The sequence below is a fragment of the Homo sapiens genome, chromosome 7, assembly GCF_000001405.40.
Source record: "Homo sapiens chromosome 7, GRCh38.p14 Primary Assembly".
In the NCBI taxonomy this organism is placed as follows: Eukaryota; Metazoa; Chordata; class Mammalia; order Primates; family Hominidae; genus Homo; species Homo sapiens.
The window spans coordinates 155489841-155511572 of NC_000007.14; the positions used below are offsets into that span (position 1 = coordinate 155489841).

General features: G+C 44.6%; 1 protein-coding gene across 19 annotated transcripts in view, besides 7 other annotated features; it reads right to left on the bottom strand.

The window, feature by feature from the left end:
* Positions 46-779: an enhancer, noted in NCBI's record as "H3K27ac-H3K4me1 hESC enhancer chr7:155282581-155283314 (GRCh37/hg19 assembly coordinates)". NCBI's record gives its function as "activates a minimal SCP1, AML or CMV promoter by ChIP-STARR-seq in primed H9 embryonic stem cells {active_cell/tissue: H9 hESC(primed)}" and the evidence as "EXISTENCE:reporter gene assay evidence [ECO:0000049][PMID:30033119]".
* Positions 1579-1648: a silencer, noted in NCBI's record as "silent region_18847". NCBI's record gives its function as "represses an Ori minimal core promoter by ATAC-STARR-seq in GM12878 lymphoblastoid cells {active_cell/tissue: GM12878}" and the evidence as "EXISTENCE:reporter gene assay evidence [ECO:0000049][PMID:35858748]".
* Positions 4178-4727: an enhancer, noted in NCBI's record as "H3K27ac-H3K4me1 hESC enhancer chr7:155286713-155287262 (GRCh37/hg19 assembly coordinates)". NCBI's record gives its function as "activates a minimal SCP1, AML or CMV promoter by ChIP-STARR-seq in primed H9 embryonic stem cells {active_cell/tissue: H9 hESC(primed)}" and the evidence as "EXISTENCE:reporter gene assay evidence [ECO:0000049][PMID:30033119]".
* Positions 7544-8247: an enhancer, noted in NCBI's record as "H3K4me1 hESC enhancer chr7:155290079-155290782 (GRCh37/hg19 assembly coordinates)". NCBI's record gives its function as "activates a minimal SCP1, AML or CMV promoter by ChIP-STARR-seq in primed H9 embryonic stem cells {active_cell/tissue: H9 hESC(primed)}" and the evidence as "EXISTENCE:reporter gene assay evidence [ECO:0000049][PMID:30033119]".
* Positions 11289-21732, bottom strand: part of CNPY1 (canopy FGF signaling regulator 1) — a 45431-nt gene continuing 34987 nt past the window's right edge. For 2 of the 19 annotated variants that reach the window (NM_001393663.1, NM_001103176.2), the window contains 3 exons: positions 19054-19257; positions 17180-17276; positions 11289-13265 (listed from right to left, as the gene is read on the bottom strand). In NM_001393663.1, coding sequence (NP_001380592.1) covers positions 13228-13265; positions 17180-17276; positions 19054-19257 — 339 coding nt within the window. In that variant the 3' untranslated portion in view covers positions 11289-13227. Of the gene's footprint in view, positions 13266-16776; positions 17277-19053; positions 20323-21732 lie in introns of those variants that run through there. The other 17 variants (NR_163160.1, NR_163161.1, NR_163167.1 and 14 more) reach the window with 17 other exon arrangements.
* Positions 17077-17126: a silencer, noted in NCBI's record as "silent region_18848". NCBI's record gives its function as "represses an Ori minimal core promoter by ATAC-STARR-seq in GM12878 lymphoblastoid cells {active_cell/tissue: GM12878}" and the evidence as "EXISTENCE:reporter gene assay evidence [ECO:0000049][PMID:35858748]".
* Positions 18988-19835: an enhancer, noted in NCBI's record as "NANOG-H3K4me1 hESC enhancer chr7:155301523-155302370 (GRCh37/hg19 assembly coordinates)". NCBI's record gives its function as "activates a minimal SCP1, AML or CMV promoter by ChIP-STARR-seq in naive H9 embryonic stem cells {active_cell/tissue: H9 hESC(naive)}" and the evidence as "EXISTENCE:reporter gene assay evidence [ECO:0000049][PMID:30033119]".
* Positions 19836-20681: an enhancer, noted in NCBI's record as "OCT4-NANOG-H3K4me1 hESC enhancer chr7:155302371-155303216 (GRCh37/hg19 assembly coordinates)". NCBI's record gives its function as "activates a minimal SCP1, AML or CMV promoter by ChIP-STARR-seq in naive and primed H9 embryonic stem cells {active_cell/tissue: H9 hESC(naive and primed)}" and the evidence as "EXISTENCE:reporter gene assay evidence [ECO:0000049][PMID:30033119]".

Here is a 21732-nt window from a genome sequence, read left to right on the forward strand (position 1 = left end):
GAGGGACAACGTGGAGGCCCAGACTCATTCGGGTGCATTGAGAGTCAGTGGTGGTGTGCAGGGAGATGTGATCGCAGGCCTGCTTCTAGAGACTTCTCTGGCAGCAGGTGGAAGGGCAGGTGGGAGGGAGGCCGCCACTTTGAGGCTGGGACAGAAGGGTGAGGACCTGCACTGGGCATGAGGGCAACCACAGACACACGCAGAGCCATGGAAGCCAGAGCTGTGGAACAGATCTGTGCCCAGTGCCGGTGGGGCAGGCTGGCCCCTCGGGCGGCTCTGTGTCTGTTCTCTTTGGGCCCAGGCTGTGTCCACCTTGCCAGGCAGTGGGAGAGAGGCAGCATCCAGGCACCCCATCCCATACACCAGGGAGCGGCACCGGCTGGGACCATCAAGCTTCCCTGGAAGGACAGCAGAGCGTGGTCACTTTCACACCGCCGAGGGGAGGCTCCCTCAGTCACAGCCTCCCATCACAGGAGGGAACCGGGGACGCAGAACCGGGGGGACAGGGGCCCAGCTCCCGGCCTCGCCCCGCCCAGGGAGGACTGTCCTGAGCACCGCTGCCCAGGCCTTCATGCTTCAGAAGCTACCAGAAGCAGAGGCTGAACGCGGCCGCCCCGGCCACTGCAGAGCCCAGGAAGGGCAGGGCGCTGAATGGCCCGCCCAGCTGCACGCATGGCTGCGTCTTCTGTGTGCCCTGCGTCTTTAAGAGAAAAGGAGGGACCTCTCAGGAAGTGGCGGGGCATCTGCTCCCGCAGGAGAAACTCTTTTACATTTCTAATCAGGAGCCTGGGCTAGGGAGTGTCCTGCCCCCGTGCCCGCAGGGATGGGGGACAATGAGGCTCCTCAACTGTTCCAGGGTAGCCCTTGCAGGCAAATCCGAGAAGGCTACGGCTTCAGAAGGAAAAGAACCAGGGAAGAAGTCCTCACAGGAATAGACCGGGCCTCGGGCGAGGCTGAAATTCTTCCTCTACACCAGGACTGCTACAGGAGGTTGTTTGGTTTCTCTGCTGGTGCTGTCTTCACACACTTACAATTAATATTAGCAGCAAGTGTCACTAAGGAGCAAGGAGCGATTTCTCCAGGAACCGGAAACTCCCCTCTGCCCCCCTGCAGCACCCAGCAAGCCGGGGCTGCCTAAAGGCCTGCCACAGGGGCTGGGTTTCTGGAATGTTCTTTCATCCCCTGGGAGTCCTGGGCTGCTCCGTCCGGCCCTCCCTCCGTGAGAAGGGGAAGCCGAGGCTTGGATGAGCTGCCCTGGCCGGCTCCGGGCTCCACCCCCCGCGCCCTGGCTGTTGCCATGGTTGGCCTCAGGCATCCGGCTCGGCCTACAGGAAACACGCTTGTAGGACTCGCTAGGGCAGGAGAGAATGGGGTAACGCGGAAGATGGATTTTTTTTTTTTTTTGAAATGAGCAAACAGTCTAGAGAACCCCACAGAAACAAAAGGGGAAAAGAAGGAGACGATCCAACAAAGGCCATTAGAGCGAAGAGCATCAGCGACATAGACGCAGCTACCAGGCGACCAGGCGCAGGAAGGGTGCGGCCGCAGCGGGTGTCGCGACCGCAGGAGGGCCAGGGCGGGGCGGCAGAGGGGCTCCCGGGACCAGGGTGCAGGAACCCGACAGGGAGGGAGAGACGGGGTGGGAAACAGGTGGACAGACAGACCTCCGGGGCTGAGGCGGAGAAACAAGACCCAGGCTGGAGAGGGGAGGGCGAGAGATGGCCACCGCCCCAGCACGTCGGAGTGGGCGCTGGGAGTTCATGGAATCGTGGAGTAATCAAAGGAACTCAGAAACCGCCCCACGAACCCTAGATTTTACCGGGTTTCTACAGAAACTGAAGCCAAGGGGTCCAGCACACAGCCCAGGGCCATCCCTTCGGCCTGAAGCAGTGTCCTCACCACACTAGGTCTCCGTGGGCAGCTCCTTCCCTGGCCCCACCCGGCTTGCTTTGGAAATACCCAGATGTACTTGAATACTGGGATTAAAAAAAAACATGGAAGGAGAAAGGAAAATGCTGAGAGGGGGGAAGGGTTAATCCAAGAGGGAAGAGACAAGCAGAGCAGGAAGCAGGAAGGAGGAGGAGGCTCGGGGCAGAGAGGAGAGGGACCTGGTGAAGTGGGGGGCTGAAGGCGCGGGGACCACCCCAGGCATTCTGGGTGCCATCTCTGTACGTGACAAATGTCCACACTCAAGCTCACAGCGGCCTCTCTCAACCGCCTCCGCGCAGCAGGGTTATCCATGGCTGAGACTCCGGGGACAAGGGGTAGGCAAAAAGAAACACAGCTGAGATAAAAGTCAGGGGACGGAGAGAGGAAACCAGTCCGGAAATGGCAGAGAGGAAGAGTTTGCTTCCTCCTGGGAAGGTTCCCTGTAAATGGGTTAGGACGTCTTTATTATGGAAAGATGACTCTGTGGTATCATGCAATAAGCTTGGTAGTCATGGAAAAGAAATCTGTATGGGAAATTATACTTTTGACTTATGACAGAGTGAAGAGTCACGTTGCCCATCCTTTCATTCAGATTATTAGTTAAATGAGGAAATAACCACAGACTGTTCCATTCTATTTGGTATACATTTCTAGAAGTCTATGAAATCAATCTGTATTTGGGAAGACCACTTCCTTCAGAGCACTTTATTTTGTGAACTATTTTGGCACCTGAGGATCCAACGGTCATGGTCCCCTTTGCCATCAAAATACAATAAGTGGAGCTTACAACTAACTTAATGTATACATGTCCATTTCTTTTAAGTGTGGATGTTGGTCTGAAGGATTTCTTCAAACAGTCTTGTCACTAATTTTATCATGTGACCAAAAATGAGCACTGGACATTGGATTTTCAAGATTTTCCCTGATAAAAATGAATCCTCTAATCCTCCCCTAATTGAACAATTCTGCATGTGATTTGGGTTTGAATTGTAAATTATAACCCTTTTCCTATTTTCTAAAATGCTCTTTTAAAAGTCTTGTAAATTCACCAGTAGTCTTCATCATTTGAGTAGTAAATGTAGTCAATTAATCTTTTTGGAAGCATTTTAGGATGAGACTTCTGGATTACTGTTCATTTTAAGACCAAGAGTTAATGAGGAAAAAAAGCCTTCCACCTCTGCAATTTTAGCTGACGGAAATGTTCTTGAATTTGCTAAATATTCACTTACAAAAAAGTTAATGAGGAAAAATGAGGACGGCACCGGCCAGGCAATGTATTCAACAGAAGCTCTAATTTGCTGTGTTGTCTTGGGCCAAACACTCAGCCTCTCTGTGCTTTGGGCTCCTCTAAACAGGATTACTTATTTCTGTTTCCTTTAAAGCGGGAGTTTTAAATCTGGATCCTGTGAACTTGGATGGGAAAAGTTCATCCTTGTTTTTGCTAGTCCATCTCTAACTGGAATCCACTTTTTCTTTTCATTATGAAGTAGACATCAAACCCTTGCACGGTTTAGCAGCGCCTGTGAGATTGCGGCTGATTTAAACCACGGATATTTTCATGTCATGTTATACCTACAGATATCTCAGAATATCATTTCCGCTCGTCACTACTTTAAAATTTGCCAATAGACCTGCTGCTAGATCTTGTTATTAAAGATATTAGTAAAGAAAGATGCATCACAATGAAAATATATTTTGTAACTATTTAAATCTGACTGGTTCCTTTGAAATCCTGTGTATCTTACTGTATGCATTTAAATATATTCATCTCAGAAGGCTGTGTCAATAGGCATCCCACAGCTGCCAAAAAGATCCATGGCATTAAGAAAGGTGAAGAAGCTCTGGTTTACAGGAATATGGAAAGGCAAAATGAATATTTGCTAAAAGGATGTCAGCTCTCTAGAGCAAAAACAACAACGACGACAAAAAAACAGAGGAAAGGTAAGGTCAACAAATCACTGCTACCACGCTGAGGAATCCATACAATCAATAGCTGTGCCAGGAAAAGGGCTTGACCCTGTGGCCACACCCCAAAATTATTTGTATTCAAAGGAGTCAGTCCCCACAAGGAGGATTTCTGACGCACTTGGCCCTACTGTTCCTCTCTGGGTCAGCGGTAATATGTGGGCGCTGTTTCTGTTCCCCACGACCAGGCCATGTGGGGCCTCGGGGACCCCGAATGCCTCGTGCTGCGGCGGAGGCCTTGGAGTGAGTGCCGGTTCCATGGTCTGCTCTGCCGCAGCCACGACGCTGGGCGCCCAGCACACCCGTGCGGTATGTGTTCCTCGGGGAGCCCTCCTGCCTCCTCTTGTTGGCATACATGTTCACACCATGATATTTAAGAGAGATGTCACCACAGACAAGCCCATGTCCAGCCTGTCCTAATAAGCAGCCGCCGGGCTGCCCAGAAAGTCACGGTCTTCTCAAAGGAAATGCTTCAGTGCTGATGTGTGACCCCACCAAATCCGAGTGAGGAGCCCTGCAGCCTGGATCTCCGTCAGAGCCGAGGGCCGCAGGCACCGTGGTCCAACCACTGCATTTACAGGGTCCGGCCCATGAGAGCAGGGAGGGCACGAAGCCCAGGTCTGGGGTCTTTCTCCGCCTGAGCGGTCCCTCAAGGGAGGCACGCACGTGCTGCAGAGCCGGGAATCTGGCCTTTGACCTGCGCCACTTGTAAGTCTCCAGACCCTAGTCTGTTCTTCCCAAGTTGGAGATGAAAATGGCATTTCTCTACAAAATTGTTGCAAGGATGAAATAAAATAGTGCCCTCGGGAGGGACATATAAACTGTAAAGGGCAGTGCTGAGCTCACCACCATCGCCATGCTAGCAGGAGCCGTGGCCTCTGGGCTCACCCGGCCGAGGCTCAGCAAACAGGCCTGCTGTGGAGCCTGGGCGGCGGGTTCGGGGCGGGGTTCGGGTCCGTCCAGGTTCCCTGTCCTGGAACTGAAGATGGGAATCCTGCTGCAGAGCCTGGGCGGGTGGGGTTCGGGTCCGTCCAGGTTCCCTGTCCTGGAACTGAAGTTGGGACTTTCCCATGGGCAGGACTCTTCTCCTTCCTCACCTGCCCGATGCCAGGTCTCCCTGGAGGACTCAGCGTCACTGGAAATGTGGCTCCAAGTCTCCCTAGACCTTCCTAGAGCAGCAAGAAACCTGGCACCACGGGTGGAAGCCTGGCCTGCCCTGAGCCAGCCTCTCCCACCGTCACCAGCTTCCCAGCACTGACTTCCCCTGGGAGCCTTCCACCTCTGCAATTTTAGCTGACAGGAATGTTCTTGAATTTGCTAAATATTCACTTACAAAAATTAATCTCTGCATTGTTCTCAATAATAAACGTGAAAATAATCGAAACGACCTAATACAGGAGATTTGTTAAATAAATGTGGCTTGCACGTGAAATAAACACTTTGCAGCCGTTAAATTTTATGCTGTAGAAGAATCTGAGTGACATGAAGATTCACAATACATCAAGTGAAAAGGCCAGGTCATAATATGGTAGATAAGATATAATCTAATTTACAGATGTATGTATATACACACACGCGTATTAACAGATATGCGTGTGTATATATATGATGTAAACAATTATCTGGGTGATGAAATTTGGAGACTTTTTATTTTCATATTTTTAAAATCTGTGTTTTCTAAATATTTGTATTTCTCTTAGAAAAAATATATTTTTTTTTCCAATTTTCATTTTGTTTGATCTGGTTTTAAATAAGAAACCCAAGCTAAAGAGGTTGGCCACCCTTTTCCTCTGTAGTTTCCCTGCCTGAGCAGCCTGAAGTGGTAGAGGCCGCCTGCCCCGTCCAGGCTGGGCCTGCTCTGGTCTCAATATCCCTCCAGAGGAGCAGAGTCCCAAGGCTCCCCAGAGCAAGGCCCGCACAGGCCCACCCTGCTCCTCTGAAAGGTTGGGGAGGGCAACTGGGACAGTCCAGGTGCGTCTGCAGCAGGGGAGGAGGCTCAGATGACCAAGAGTTGGTCTCTGAAATGGATGCAGTAGAAAGAATCAGAAACGTCCCCTCGTGGGCACCAGGCAGGAGGCTGAGCCCGCTGATGAAGCAGGTCTCAGTAAGGAGCTCCACGCAGTGGCAGTGACATCTTGAAAGGAGAGAATCCCCTGTCCCAGGACCCTCAGGTACCAGCCTGAGCTGGAGACACACTCCCTAGGCCCGGCTTTCAAAAGGAAGCTATCAGGATGCAAATTGGCTTCAGGCCCACCACCAAGTCCATGCGCGCTGAGACAGGTGCAGCGACCTTACAGTCAGAGTCTGTGTTTAGCTTGAAGTTTCACAGCACCTGTCCTCCAAGGCCTCCGGGTTATCTGAGGGCACTTCCTGTGGACATCCTGTTCCAGGCATGGCCCCTGGGGTCTAGGCAGTGGTGTGTGGGCAGGGGGTGGTGCCTGGAGCTTCCTAACACTCTTAGTCCTCCTGCAAAACCAAGACCCCACCTGAGATCAGGAAAAGTTCTCTATCACACAGCCTGGGAACACTTGCCTTGGATTTTGGCCTAGGACAAAGCCTGGCTGGGTGACGCATTCTGGGCTGCCATGGGGTGGGGGGAGGGTACAAAGTCCCCTTCTGGATCTTCCCAGCTGGGTGAGGCATTCAGGCCACATCGGGGGTGGGGTGGGGGGAAGTCCCCTCCTGGGTCCTTCCAACTGGATGAGGTGTTCAGGGCCGCCATCGAGGGTGTGGGGAAGTCCCCTTCCGGGTCCTCCCAGCAGGTACTGATCTTACTCCTTCGTTCTCAGGCGGGACACTCCAAGGGGCTCCCTTATCCCCGACATCACTGGAGCTCTTGGCCTGGCCTCCTTCCCTCATGGCTACCACAGGCCACCCAACCAAAGAACACATTTTTTGCCTTAAAGTTCTCCCATTTTGGTGTTTTGTGTCAGCGCTTCCAGACAGCCAGTGGCCTGGTCTTTCGTGGTCCCTGCTCTCCCCGCAGCTCAGGGTGGAGGCCCTGTCCAACTAAGCACAGCACCACCCTCCACACTGAATGTCCTCACCAGGCCGCAGCACAGGCCGCCCTCCCGCCGTGCTGGTCTGACCTCGGGGGCCCCTCTCCCCACGAGGACCTCTGTGCCCCGCCTGCACCACTCCTGTATCCTTCTCGGCGCCTAGCACGGGGCCTGAGGTGCACTAGGGCTTCCTGAGTATTTGCTTATTTGAGCACAAACCCAAAAAGGCCAAGGGCAAGGGTGTGTACGTTCAGAACAGTGAGCACGGCAGGTCTTAGGGGGCCGGGCGCTCAGAAGGGCCCGCCGGGCATCTGAGTTCTGCGCGGAAGATTAAACCAAGAGGAATCTCAAAGAGGAGCGGTGGTTACTTGGAAACCATCATCGGCTACCAAGCTCAGCTGCAAGACCCCACCCAACTGTTCCACAGTCCTGGAGGGGCTGAGGTGCACTGCCCCCAAGCCAGGGGTGCGGAATTGGATCACCGGGAGGCTCCCCCAGCCCCTTCTCAGGATTCTGCACCACAGGTTCCATTCCATTGCCCAGCGGGAAGCGCTTCTCCAGTGCCGACAGTGGTAACTGATAACTAACAGGAAGCGCGGACTCATTCTGCCAGCTGCGAGAAGGGCCCTGAGCTGGGCTGGGGCCTTTCCCAGGTACAAATCAATGTGGGAATGAAAGGGAAGGAAGCAGTGGGCTCACCCTCCTCCCCGAGATAAAGCTTTGTTTGAGCCTACGCTGTGGCGTCTGTTCCTTTGGGATCCACCTTGGCGGGGTGAGGATAGCCTACGCTCAAGGGCCCCGGCAGGGATGCAGGACAGCCAGGGGACCCCGAGGCACAGATGCCGCGGCGGCCAGCCTGGGCTTTCTGCCCTCACTGCCTGTGCCCAGGGGCTCCGCCTGGGCCAGCCGGCCCTGGGCTAGGTCACCCGGCCGGCCTATGCAGGGCCCAGGCTGGGGCCTCTGCGCCTGCTGCCGCCTGGGCTGAGGTATGAGGCTGAAGGTACCTTACTCAACACTGTCAGTGCACGGGAGAAAACGCCCCTGGTGTGTTAATAAATCACTAGTTACTAGAAGGGAAGCACAAGAACTAGAGATGCTATCATTTTCCTGGACTTGAGACTCAGTCATCAGGTACAAAGGAAAGCATTTCTTAACAACAACAAAAAACTCAAACGTGTTTCTCTCTGAAGCCCCTGTGCGTCCACCCGTTGGTTAGTAAGGGGAACAGCATCTTTTTACTGGGCTTTGTTTCAGAAGGGGATTTCTTGCAATCAGCCCTCTCTTCTGACCTTGACACAGCCATCTTTCTACAGTGGGATCTTGCCATAGGGCCAGTGCATGCTCACAAAAACGGTTGGGATTTTTGCGGTTTGGAAAGAGAGAGCCACACCACACCCACGGGCACACACGAGCTCCACCAGGCACAGCTGACCCAGATCCCTGGAATTGAGTGAGGATTTCCAGTGTGGCTTCCACTCTCGAAACTGGTCAAGGTGTCAGTATCCACAGCATATGCAAAAGTGAGCTAACCTGCAACATTTCCTGTTTCTCACTTAGGGGCACTGCTTCAAAACACGCATGCACCCAAGACCCTTTCATCTTAGGGCATTCATATTTCATCATGGCTTTGATTGCATATGAAAGCAATTCAAGGGTATATTTTTACCTAAAGGTCTAATAATTTAATAACACTTGTTGAAGCCACATTTGTATTAGATTTCACTCTGTTTTAATACCACATTGCTTTACATAGGGTCCATCTTTAATAGGGACCAAATAGTCTATTTTTTGGTTCTCCGCTTTCTTCTGTAAACCACAGGGCATGAAGGTAGTTCATCAGTGCCCTTTGATGAAGAACAGAGCCATGAAGATGACTTCTATCAGACAATGAAAATTGCCTGATTGAAATCTTCTCTGTCTCTGTTGACAATGGTGTCACCTCGTGGATTACAGTCACCTTTTATCAGCCAATATCAGAGAATACGCTGTAGAGAAATTCCCACTTGTTCAGAAAGCTGCTATGAGGCAAACCCTTAATATCAAACTCAGGAGCACAGTCTAACTTTTCACAGCCAACATCGCTATTCATAAAGTTTGAGATAGCTATTCACATTTTTACTTATAGTATATCAGATCTTTCTGAGCCCTGGCCATGCTTAATCAGCGGACATTGGGCATCCGATGCTTCAGTACGTAACTTGCCTTCCCTAGATGCTGGTGTGTTAACAATCCCGAAAGGAGAAGAAAGTTACTGGAGCCCTTATCAGCTCCACGGGAAGGCCATGTCCCTCTGGGTCACATCTTGGATTCACTAAGCTTGTGATTTGTGAACCTCCCCCTGCCCTGTGGCTTTGAGGGAACAGGACTATCAAACTGCTCACCTTACTGTACTGGGCTTTTACTCTGTGCTATTATGCTTTAGAGGGAAATTATCTAATCCATGGTTTACTGAAATCCATGTTCCATACAGTGACACATACTATAAGATTCTAAGCTAGTTCCAGTGCAGCCTCATGGCATTTTTGTTTTCCAGCAACTTCATAAGAGATTAAATATGTTTTACGAATTTCTTACTGTGGCAGGGTAGAATCTTTTTTATGTCCACTGTAATTTTTTTTTCTTTCATGAAAATCTTGAGATAATTCTCCAAGATAAGGAGCATAGGAATGTTTCTTTAATTAAGGAATTAGAAATAAAGACCCTATTTTTTCCCTGAGATCTCCACACTGGAAATTCGAAGCTCTAGCTGATCTCCGTGTCCTCTCTCTATTATGTATGTCCGTGTCTGTGTATTTGTATGCATGTATCTACATTTCCAAGTTTCTATCTATCTGTTTATCTATTTATCCATCCATCTAATTTTGGACTTTCCTGAAGAACCCAGAAGGGTAGAGAGCTGTATGTGACATGTAAGACTCCTCTTCCACAAACTGTCCTTCTGAAGCAAAGCCCCATGTTTCTGGTGATGGCCCCACAAGTGAATGAGCCAATATTATATTAAATATCATCAGCACCTCCTGCCGTTGGGGCAGATCGTGAAAAGTGGACTACAAAGAGCAGAGCCTCTCTCCTCAGCAAACATACATTTAGGGGAAGGGGCAAGAAGTTAAACTTTGCGTGAGAGCAGTATCAGTTACTGTTATCTTTCCCTAGGTCATTTAAGGGCAGTACAGTTTTACAACTTCCATAATTCTATTTCATTTATTGTATTTGATCTTTTTATCCACTTGGTTTCTTGCTCTAAAAGCAACTAATCTGAGGAATTTAAGAAATGTATAAAGGGGAATTAAATTATAGCTAGGGAATCATAATAACACACTTGTATGTCACAGGTGCATTCATATTGTGATGGTTTAGTATCATTGTTAATTGCATCTTGGTATCAAACTATACAATATCCTCTTGCGTGAGCTTCAGCACATTTAACATTAGCTCACAAATTTGTACCAAGTTTTAAAACAGACCACAAAATCACATCTAAGAATGACTTTTCTCATATTCCATGACAATCTGAATTTTAAGCTTGATATATAGTTTATCATTTTTATTTAGATATAGTGATTACGTATGTGAATAAATATCAACCTAAGCCAAGAAACAGATATAAAAGCACAGCCAGCTATCGACTCTATTTTTTTAGGGTTGTCTTAGTAAATAAAGTATTGATCTTTCCCGTTTGGGACTTCAGCACAATCCCGCTCTCCACTCCTCAGTAAAATGGATTCATTGTCCTTGGCTTGTTCTTAGCAAATAGTAATCCACATCACAAAAAATAAACTGGCCATCTCAGCCAATTTGGTCTTTTTTTTTTTTTTTTTTTTTTTTTTTATGAGAACAGGTTCACGTGTCTTCATGGAGACCCAAACCAACCATCTCATAAAAGAACAATTTGAAACCATGCAGCCTCAAACAAGTCTTCTCTCCTCATTATTTTAATAAGCATTACACACCCCACCCCGTGTTTTTCCAGGGATTTTTTTTTGGACATAGAATTAGGCAGCTTTTCATCAACTCTGAGAAACGTTCTCTCACCCTATAATGTTGCCTTGTTTCTTTTATTTTGTTTTTGTTTTTGTTTCCTCCCCATGACTTGTTTTATTTTGGTTTTGGTCAATAAATGTGACTTACAAGGCACCAAGGTGGCTAGGAGGATGCTAAAGTGAGTAGCTACTCTATCTCATTGTTCATTAGCAAAAGCAGCACAACCTAACAGTGGCCCACAGGGAAACCTAAGACTTCCTGAAGCCAGAAGAAATCCAGTGGTTTAGGTGTTATCACTCAAATACAGGTTGAATCAGTAACTTTGTAAGCTACGAATATTTACATGAGTTTGGCAAGTTTGATCTGGAAAAAATTCTGGAAAGAAAAAATACACAAGTCATGAGATATTAAAAATTTGCAAGATACAAGACTATTTTTAATGGGAAATCCAAGAAAAAAACCTGAAATGCCATATTTATCACAACCTTAGATAGTCACTGTAAGTCAAGGTTCCTCGCCCTCTCCATTCAAAGCAAAGCATCACTGTCCATGAAAGGCACCCCTCAGTGACAGGAGGTGCACCTCCCCACGTCCGTTTAGTTACAAACAGGAGCCCACATTTTCTTAATTTCTATAATTAGTGTTAGCATTGCCTACATTTGAGAATGTTTGATGATGATCAAAGAGAGTATGGAAACAGATTTGGCAACACTTCTACGGTTACGACCGTGAACAGTTTTCACTGAAGCTTACTTAGTGTCACAGGTCCCGCCATGTTCCTGTGAAGGTCACTAGGTTTTCAGGAATAATTGTCCTGTTTAGTGCATTTCCCAAGAAAATCCAAGTTAGGAGAATGTTCCTGATTTACTACTTTAAATGCCAAATTAACCTTAACTAGATACGTTTAAATAAAGCTATAGGGACTATGTTTTAAATAACAATTGTCCTACCCTACTGGAAAATAGTGTTAATTATTATTCAGTTCTATTTCCATCGTGTGTCAGCTCGGGTGCGAGTTCGCTGGGTTATGTAGGAGCCATCAGACTTAAGCAGCCACAGACAAGACAAAAAAGAAGCACCCAAGTAATTAAGTGACATTAACTCACTAACTTTTAATCAGAGTTTAGGTGGGGAGGGGGCATGGAAAGCCCTTCCCCTTAGCTTTGGTAAATTTTCCTAAATTTAAGAATTGTTTCCTGCTGAAGAGTCAGGAGAATGATTTAAACACATAATGTGCTTTTTAAGCAACTAAGTAACAATATGGCAAAGAGTTTTGGGTCGGGGGGGTTGGGGGGGGGATTTGTAGCATCCTACCCACTTGATTGTCACCAAAGACAATGAGAATCTCTTTTTAGAAACTGGTGTAGACCATACCCTGACATTTTTAATCATTAAAGTCAGATTCCATTGAATGCAAATGTAACAGAGATAAAGAAATTTCCGGGAGTGATTGTTACTAGACTTTGTATATTAAGTGTGGCCAAAAGATAATTTCCCACCAGGTCCCAACTCTTTTTCCATTCCTGTAGAAGAATGGTAGATTATTTAGTAGTAAACTCAACACACTAAATGTGAGCCAAAAAAAAAACGTTTAGAAGAAAAACAAACAAGCCAGAAGAGTTTGGAGCGAAACAAAACGCAATCACTAGTGTCATCTTTTAACACCTGATGCAATAATAAATCAACTTTCTAAGCCACTTAAACTCAGAATGGTGTTTGAGAGGCCAATATAATTATTGTTTACTATAAATTAAAGCATTCATTAGTTTTTACACATTCCACTAAATTTTAGAGATGGGTTTTTAAACTTGTGGTTTCTAAAAATTTTAATTTCATTCCTGATAAAAAGTGGGTTTCTTTCACTAATAGCCATATCTCACCCAGAAGGCCACATTTTGAATTTGTTGCCATGTATTTCCTTAAATTTATAGGCAATCAAGTATTTGAGGATTCAAATCCAGTTCTTATCAGACAGCCACTGCGCTTGCATATGTGCACATACACTGTTATAAAATAAGCAGCATACATTATGAAATCCCTATTTTGTTTATGAAATGTCTTCGCTTTTTTCCTCAATACAGAATTAAATCCTCTATTGTCAAGCTTGATTTATCAAAATCTGCAAAGGTTAATTTAAGTTTCATGTACTCCTCAGCTTCACCTATAAAAAAACGCAGGGTTTGTCATGATGTCAACCAACAGATTTTCAAAATGAATCATAAACGGAGACAAACACGGTATAAACAAGAGACAAAATTTTTCTTATCATGAAAGACAACATGCAAACATAAAATGCAGACATTGACCTTTGGGTGTGACTTTACTCCTCTCTACGACCAGCAGAACGGCACTCCTAGAGCTCAGTATGATTAGCAGAAGTTTCACACAGATCTGGAAAAAAAAAAAAAAGTAGATAGCATCATTATCACTTTAGACTCCAGCCCGTTAAGTCATTTACATTATGCAAAAACTATGTTCTGGTAGAAGCATATTTTAAAAACTTTTATTATGGAAATTTTCCCAAAATGTTATTATAGAAATTACCCAAAAGCAGAAAGAAGGGTGTAATCTATTCCCCTGCACCCCAAACCCAGCTTCAACAAAGATCAACACTGCTGTTCTTGCCCATATTCCAGTCTTTTTTGGCTTTAGGATTTAAAGCAAGGCCAAGGTATTGTGTCATTTCACCCATGGCTCCACTCAGAGATATTTCACAGCCTGTAATGGGCACAGGACATCTGGCATTTAACCCAAGGACCACAGAAGCAACTAGATACTTTGATAATGCTACTTTTCCAGTTGGAAGCAATTAATGCAAACTCTATCGAAAAAGGCTATGGATTACTTTAGCTACATAACTTTTAAAAAATATGCTAGCCTTTGAAAGCAATTATTTTACATATTAGAATTTAACATTCCCATTAGTTTTGAGAAGTCTACATAAAAAGGGAAAAATCTTTTACTTTAAATGTAGGCTGAACATTTCTAGATACTTGATCTCATCTTCATACGCTGCATTTGAAATTGTGATGTGGCAAATTCATCAGTGATGATGCTTTTAAATGTTAAGGTTTGATGTGGAAGCAGAAGAGATACATACAGAATATATTTGTGTATTTATTTATGCCTTCATATATTCTATTTAACAAATACTTCCATGAGTATTAGAAGATCCATTCATTTCTAAGTTACAGTGCTCTGTTCCATACCTTGAGTGGCACAGAGCTGCACTTTTCATCACGACCCTATAGCACATTAAGATTTTAATCATTTTGACTCCAAGACATCAAAATGACATTCTGGAGAAGTCTGAACTATATGCCCCAAGATATTCCACCAGGAACATCTAATGAACTTGCCTTTATGTCTTGCCTAGGAAAAAAAGAGATTATCTGAGGAATAACCCCCTGTTACTCTGTCTCACACTCCAAAAACAGAGTACATTTGATGACTTTTATTCTATCCAGTATATAAACTGCAGTGGCAGCCACAGATTCATTTGTAATCCTATAACCTTTCATGGATATTTTTTTTCACTCATCAAAAAAATGACACATAATGTTTATGAAAGTCTCAGTGATGTGTTATATTTTCATCCAAACACAATCATCTTAAATCTGACATATATATTTTCTCCATTCTTCCCCACTTATTTTTGTGTATTGGTGAATGTTAGAACTTCAATATTTTGAAGAGTCTGTGAATGTGCCCTACTTGCCAGCATGTGATTATTATAAATAAAGAGAAATAATCTACATTAAGAAGAAAAAAAGCGAAACTCATATATAAACAAGGTGTATGTAAAGTGTAGAAAGGAACTAAAGTTTCAATAAAACCTCTAATTCTACCAATGTCTATTTTCTAAATATTTATCTTCCTAAAAGCAGTGTGTGAATATTTTAACAGCATAGAGCGTTGCACGTAGTATACACTCAGTAAAGAGTTATTGCTTAATGTGCAGTTTCATACCCCCCAACACACACACACACACACACACACACACACACACACACAGTCACATCTTTAAGACACTGTTTAAACTCTGGAGTGTCTATCACAGCAAAGCTGTTGGGCAAGATCACAAGGAAAAGTATCGCCTTCACAAAGCAGAGTATGACTGTCATATTCTGGTTGTAAACTGGCTGTCCTTGTATGTTAGATTAGGCACCAGTGCATCTGGAGTCTTCTACGGTACGAACATCTCACCCTTCAGTTGTCTGAAACCATCCCAATGTGTTAAGATGCATGAATTCTCTGTTGCTTCAGTCACTTATCAGAGTTTTTATCATTGATGTGTTGCTTGAGCTTTTTCTAGCAAAAATTGTTCAGTTTGAAGAAGCTCTCTTCCTTGTTATCGTGCTATTAACTCACTTCAACAGTAGGGCTTTTTGAGTGGGTGGGAGAAGTCCAGTCTCTCTCTAGGATTAATTTATTCTCGGTTTTTAACTTATGAGTGGTTTAGAACACCCATAAATATGTTTCATGAAGAAACATTACCTGAAAGGACTCACCCCGCTTCACTACGTAGCGGCTCAATGGTGGCTTGCACCTTTGAGTATCTTTTACACCTTTTACTTCCAGTACTGCTGTTCATAGTGGTAAGGACTTAATCAGTGTTTTAAAAATCAAATGCCAATTAAGAATTATCTCATCAGGTTTCATTTTATACTTGCAAAATTGCACCTATCTTAGGTTTATTCTTTCAGCTTGCATTTTCTCAAGGTTAGTGTTAAGTTTTATTCCAATTATAAATATGCAGAAGGAATGAAGAAAGGTAGTTAAGATTATTGAAATTAAGTCAAATTGACAAACTTGGGAGCAGTCTTTCCCCAGGATCTTATTATTCGGGGTGACTACTGCTGGGACTAGTTACTGGAACCCTCTCTAGTCCTCCTGGAGCATCTGAGAGAGGGCCCATGTAGCAGTGGATCTGCGTTTGTCATAGACCACGTCCTTTATGAGGAAAAAATAGGGAAATTAATATTTCAAATATTGTTCATCACATTTTTGCTTCTATCTGAATGCCTACATACATCTCTGAATTGTTTGAAACACTTTAAAAACATTTCCTGTGGGAAGTTGTGGTCATGGACATCACACATTTCTATAGTATATCTCCCACATCAAAGAAAAATACCCCAAATGCCTGAATAATCCTGACTACGTCGTCTCACTGTATTCTTTTGCAAGCTTCATTAAAACTGGATTTTAAACAGAAACAACCCAATTATCTACTCAGAGTATAAGCAAAAAAGACAAAAACAAAACCAAAAACAAAAAAAACAAAACTTTACCTGTTCTGTTAATGGGAGATTTGTGTACTTCTTGTTTAATAACTTTTGATGACATGAATATTTATCTACAAATGTTCAGTAGCTGTTATTTTAAGGACTTTGGCACTACATTTGATATAATGGATGTAGGTGTATTATATACTTTATTGTAAACAACTGCTGAATGCTAATTGTCTCAAACTTCCACATTGTTTAAAAGTACCCCACTGGCTTTAAATCATTGTCTTCATATCTACTCACTCATTTCTTCCCAAAGATATCCAAAAGAATGCACAACTGTGTACTCCATTCTTATAAATGTATTAAACAAGCATCCAAGTTAGGGGACTAGAAGGTCTACGTACAGCCAACAGAGCGGAGAGTCAGTGACCATCGCTTTCAACTTTGTATATTATAAATAAAATTCTGCTCATTTTTTCCAGCTTCTGAGTGTGTGTATATGCTTAAGAATTAACTATTATTTTCCACCCTCTGAGCCAGAAAAAAATTTTTTTTAAGAAGTAGATACAGGAATGGAACCTGGAAAAAAATCCAGCATCCCCCCAAACAAACAAACAAACAAACAAACAAAAAAACTTTAGAAAGTTCTTACAAAATAAAAATCGCACCTTCTGCTGCTGTAGCAGATACTCAAGCCATGAAGTGAGGGTCTCCTTCCCTGGTCCAGGATGGAAAAATCCTCTCTCTCAAAGTTTTTAAAAAGAAAGTGCTTTGGAGTCTTCTAATTCTGAACAAGAATTTTCTCCTTAACTGGAAATCAAGAATGTTTGAATTCACTTAATATATAGAGGAAAGAAAGTACAAAGAGGAAGGCCACACAGCCCTGTGGTTTCTGTTTATCTGTTTTCTCTCACATGCTGTCGTTTCTGATTCAGCGGAGACGGGGGATCCTGTGTCAGAGCCGTGGATCGCAGAGGCAGCGAGGCTCGGTCTGCAAACAAGACGCTGCAAGGCTGAGTGAGAGAGAGAGGGTGTGCGAGCAGCGAGCACATGTTACATCAGACACAGTACCTGATTTTTCACTGCACAGCTTGTCAGCTAGATAGTGTGTCTCCTGGGCGATAAGTGAGGATATTTCATCTTCATACTCTTCTATTATAGTTTCACACTGTAGAAACATAATAACAACATATGTGGATAGACGCACACTGGCGGGGCACTTTGTTAGGAAGGACTTTGCAACAATTTATTAGCTAAACATAGGAAATCATGTAACCAAGGTGGTCCATTTTTATTCGCCCTTTTGGTTTAATACATCATTGCATTGGATTAACCCTCTTCCCAGAATGTTAATTGCATCATTTTCCTGGGGCTTAAGTAAATGATGAGTTGTGTTGGAAGACATGGGAGCCTGAGGAAGGAACATCTCTTTGCATGTTTCGCTTCCTTAAATCGGACTGGAAGTCATAGGAAGAAATGGACCTCCTATCGAAGGAGCTGAAAAGTCCAACGGTTTTTAAACTAAAAAAAAAAAAAAAAAAAAAAAAAAAAGAAGACCACAGCTCCCCGAAATGATTAAACCAGTTTCCTTGTGATTTAACATAATAATCCATTTTGTGGCTTGAAAGTGTGAAAACAATTAAGCCTTCTCAGCAATCAAAACAAACGCATCTTCAATTTCACTGTGGAGAACACCCTTGACAGTTACTTCGGGAGGTGTCTTTTCATGCTGTTTAGAGATCCATCCAACATTTCACTTCACTTAAAAAAAAATACCTGACCTTTCAGAGAAGAGGGTGCTCAAATACACCCCTGCATTTGAAAATCTTAAATTCTAACTGAAGTATGTTTCTTTGTTAAGGAACTACCAGGTTATACTTTCGGGAGCTGTGAAGTTACCTAGTGGTATTCACCAGAGACTTGTAAATCATTTTCTGAGTTCATTAAGCAAGACTCTAAAAATGTTTAATGGCATTTTAAAAGATTTAAATTCGACTCTAATGTGCCTATTTAAAACCTGTGAAATACAAACACACGTATTCATTGTCATTCTTATTCTGTAGTACTTTTAACCCTGATTATTGCCTTTACTTTCTAGTTAAAATAAAATCTTTAAAAATCGGCTAAAGCCCTTATTTCAAGGTTTCAGCAGGCCTGGTATTTTGGCCAATGTGTGAACTTAATACATTTTTTAAAACAGGACTGCCCATCACTTTGTCTGATTCAACAGCATTGACTAAAGTGAAAAATATTGCAACGTATTTTGCCAAGCATATTCTAGCAAGCCAGAGACTAGCATTCACAAAAAATCAACATTACACTGGAAGGAAATTTGGCATCAGGCTAACTATCATACCTAAGCCTTTGTTTAACTTAGTTTGGGCTAGAATATTCGAATTAACTCAGGATACAATTCTCCCTCCTCTGTCAAGCCTTAGAAAAAAAGAGGTGGTTGCATCACTCTCCCTCTGTCATTTGGCTGTAGATATTTGAAAGCGGCATTCGTTTTAATTTGGCTTTTAACCTAGAAACCACAGCCCCTGATTCCTTATGTGGAAACCTGTGAGAGACCTTCCTTGCACCAGCACTGACTAAGACCACTCTGGAGTCCCCACACGAGCAAAATGGTTTAAGCAAAACGTTCTGCAAAACTGTCTTAAAGTCCCCGGGACTTGTGCACAGCACCTTCCGTAAAGTATCACTGAGACGTGTCCATTGATCACCATAAATTGCCACAACCCCTTAGGTGTCTCAAAAGTCAAGTTACTAAACGCATGGTGAGCACTTAAGCAGCAAGACAACAAAGTCAGCAGATGACATTTTAATGTGCATTTTGATGTTCCATGTCTTGAAACTCAACCACAACAAGAGTAGAAAACAACAAAAAAGAGTTCCAAAAACACGTTTCTGGATCATACGATTCATCTGCAAGGAAGAGAGCTTACCGCAAATTTCAAAGGTCTGTAAGCATCAGAATAAAAATACAATTTTTTAAATTCTTGGTATATTTTGTCTCCTTTCCTAGGAGCGAATCTCTTGAAAGTTCTCTCCTTCGTCACAGGGTCTTCCTCAAGCTTGTAGTCGTTCATTCGCTCACAGACTTTCTCCAAAAGATCCGTTAGGAACGCCTCCGACTGAGCTAGGGGGATCTAAGAAGAAAGACAGGGCGAGGAAACTTGTCTTAATGTTAATGTTACTTCAAAGACCTTCCGGCGAGTCCACATGGAAACGCCACACTCTCCCTGAATGCAAACGTGTGCCACTTCCCTAGCACGGGCCCAGAAGACGGTACCGCAGATTGTTATTACAATGTAACAACGACCTGCTTTACATCATTACGGGGCTAGCGTAAATTCCAGTTTTTTAAAAGTGCATATATTTCAAAGTGGCCAGAAAAAAAATACATTCAAACTAGAAACTATACCTCTACATAGAATCATGTTTAGAAATCACTGAGCATGTAGCAAAAAGCATGACGCATAGAAAATGGCAGTTATTATCCATCTACTTGTCAGACAGAGAGAGGAGAGAGAGAGGAGGGGGAGAGAGACAGAGAGAGGGAAAGGAGGGAGAGACAGAGAGAGGGAGGGAGAGAGAGCGAGAGAGAGAGCGCGCGCTCAGCTGGCTTCAGATCCCCTTAGTCGGGGAGAAGTTGGGGAGGCCCAAAGTCTGGCCCTCCCCGGGGCTGCCCTTGGCTGCGCGTCCCCCACGCTGCAGCCGCGCGATGGCCCGGGCTGGGGTGGACGTGGGGCTGGGAGAGGAAGGGGCTCACGGACGGGCGCCCCATCTCCCAGGCGGGCTCCTCGGCTGCTTTCTTTGGGAACAGCTGGTGCACGTCCCCGCGCGCCCCTCTCCCTCCGGAATTCGGCGAGGATTCAGCTGGACCCTTTGGCCACCACCTCCGCCCCGGGCGCGGGTCAAAGAGCACCCCTCGCCCTTGGTAACGGAGACAAAACGTTCGGGGCCGTCTAGACAGGTCAAGGTGCAGGATGCGGCGTCCCCGCGGCTCCTTCCGGAAGGGGGCGTGGAGCCGCCAAGGGCGCCGGACCGCGCCGCAGCCCGGGCCTTTGCGGGCTTTTTCCCTCTCCACCCTCTGCTGATCAAAGTAGGAAGTTTGCATGACAACCGCAGTGAAAGGGGCTGAATCACAAATGAACTCGATTTCTGCAGTGTTGATCTATCCAGCCTCCATTGTCCCCTTTCAGGCGCAGTATGAACCCTTCCGGTGCCAGCGGCCGCGCTACATTCACAGGCGCGCTCGGGGCGCACAAAGGGTCTCCGCGCTTCACCGCCATCTGGCCACAAATCTCATCAGCGGCGCGGCGGCGTCCCCTTGAAAGCGCGGGCGGAGGGTGCGCTTGTGTTCTTGAGACCCAGGTTCCATTACAAACCACCCAGCATCGCCACCGGCGCCCCCCGTTTCAATAAGGAAGCCACTTTGTCAAAACATTCTAAAAGAAACTTGGGAAGAGGACGCGTCAGAGAAATACCGCCGCCGATTAACTATCAGCTGCGCCTCCCCTGTGCACAGGTAACATCCCTCCTTCTCCCCCACGACTCGGCTGGAGCTTGATTTTGAGCTGCTCTCAAGGCCCAGGCACTCGAATCGGAAGTTAAATAGCTTATGGACTATTTAATAGAATATACCACCACACGTATCTAATCACTCAAATACCACGCTTTTAAAACTCATGAATGTTTTAATCGCTAAAAATGTCTACAGTCAAAAACTGCAGCCTAAGTGGCTCAAAGTGCACATTTCAAACACAAGTAGCGTTCTACTTACGCTTTAATTATGCCGTTCATTAATTTTCATTAAGTTGTAAAACATGCAAAGAATACGTAGATTAACAAACAAAACTGAAAATCTGTTTTATTAATTTACAGAAACAAATAATTAAACACGTATTAATCACTGGAAAAACTATAAAATGCAGAGGCAGATTTTAAAATGTAATTTAATCAAGACAGATCATTAGCGGAAAGATTACGGAGGTTTTCTTTTTCTGTGATGCATGTATTTTAGGTATTATTTCCTTAGCTGATACATATACAATATATTCATAGTAGTTTCTGGATGTCAACAGAGTAGCATTTTACTTGAAAGTGAAGAGTAGACGCTGTCATTTAAAAATATCTAACTGTAATCAAGAAATTCATTCTCTCTCTCCTTTCCTTCCTCCCTCCCCCACTCTCGTTTCCCATCTGAAAAGTAAACATACTTGATACTTGGGGGGATGGGGACAGAGCCAGGAGGAACCAGGGTCTGATCGCTGGGGGCTTTCAGAAACTTAGGCCTTCCTTCCATTAGAACACCAAATTCCATCCTAATACACCACTTAATTCATGTTGAGTAGAGGCCACGCTGAAAACTAATTTTTCAATTCACAGAACATTGTGAGCTATTTGCAAAAGTTGCTGAGCATATAAGTTTTGAGCAAAATTGTAATGTTTGTGTGTGGAAGGCCTTCCACAACTTACTTCTGTGGGCCACTTGATTTATTTCCTAGGTTGCACCTTTTGGAAACAGTTCCCCATGTTAAAACTTTCTACCTACCAGTGGATTGTTTTTATTTTGAAAGTGTAATTTGACATGTTTGAATATGCTACTGTTTTGCCTATTT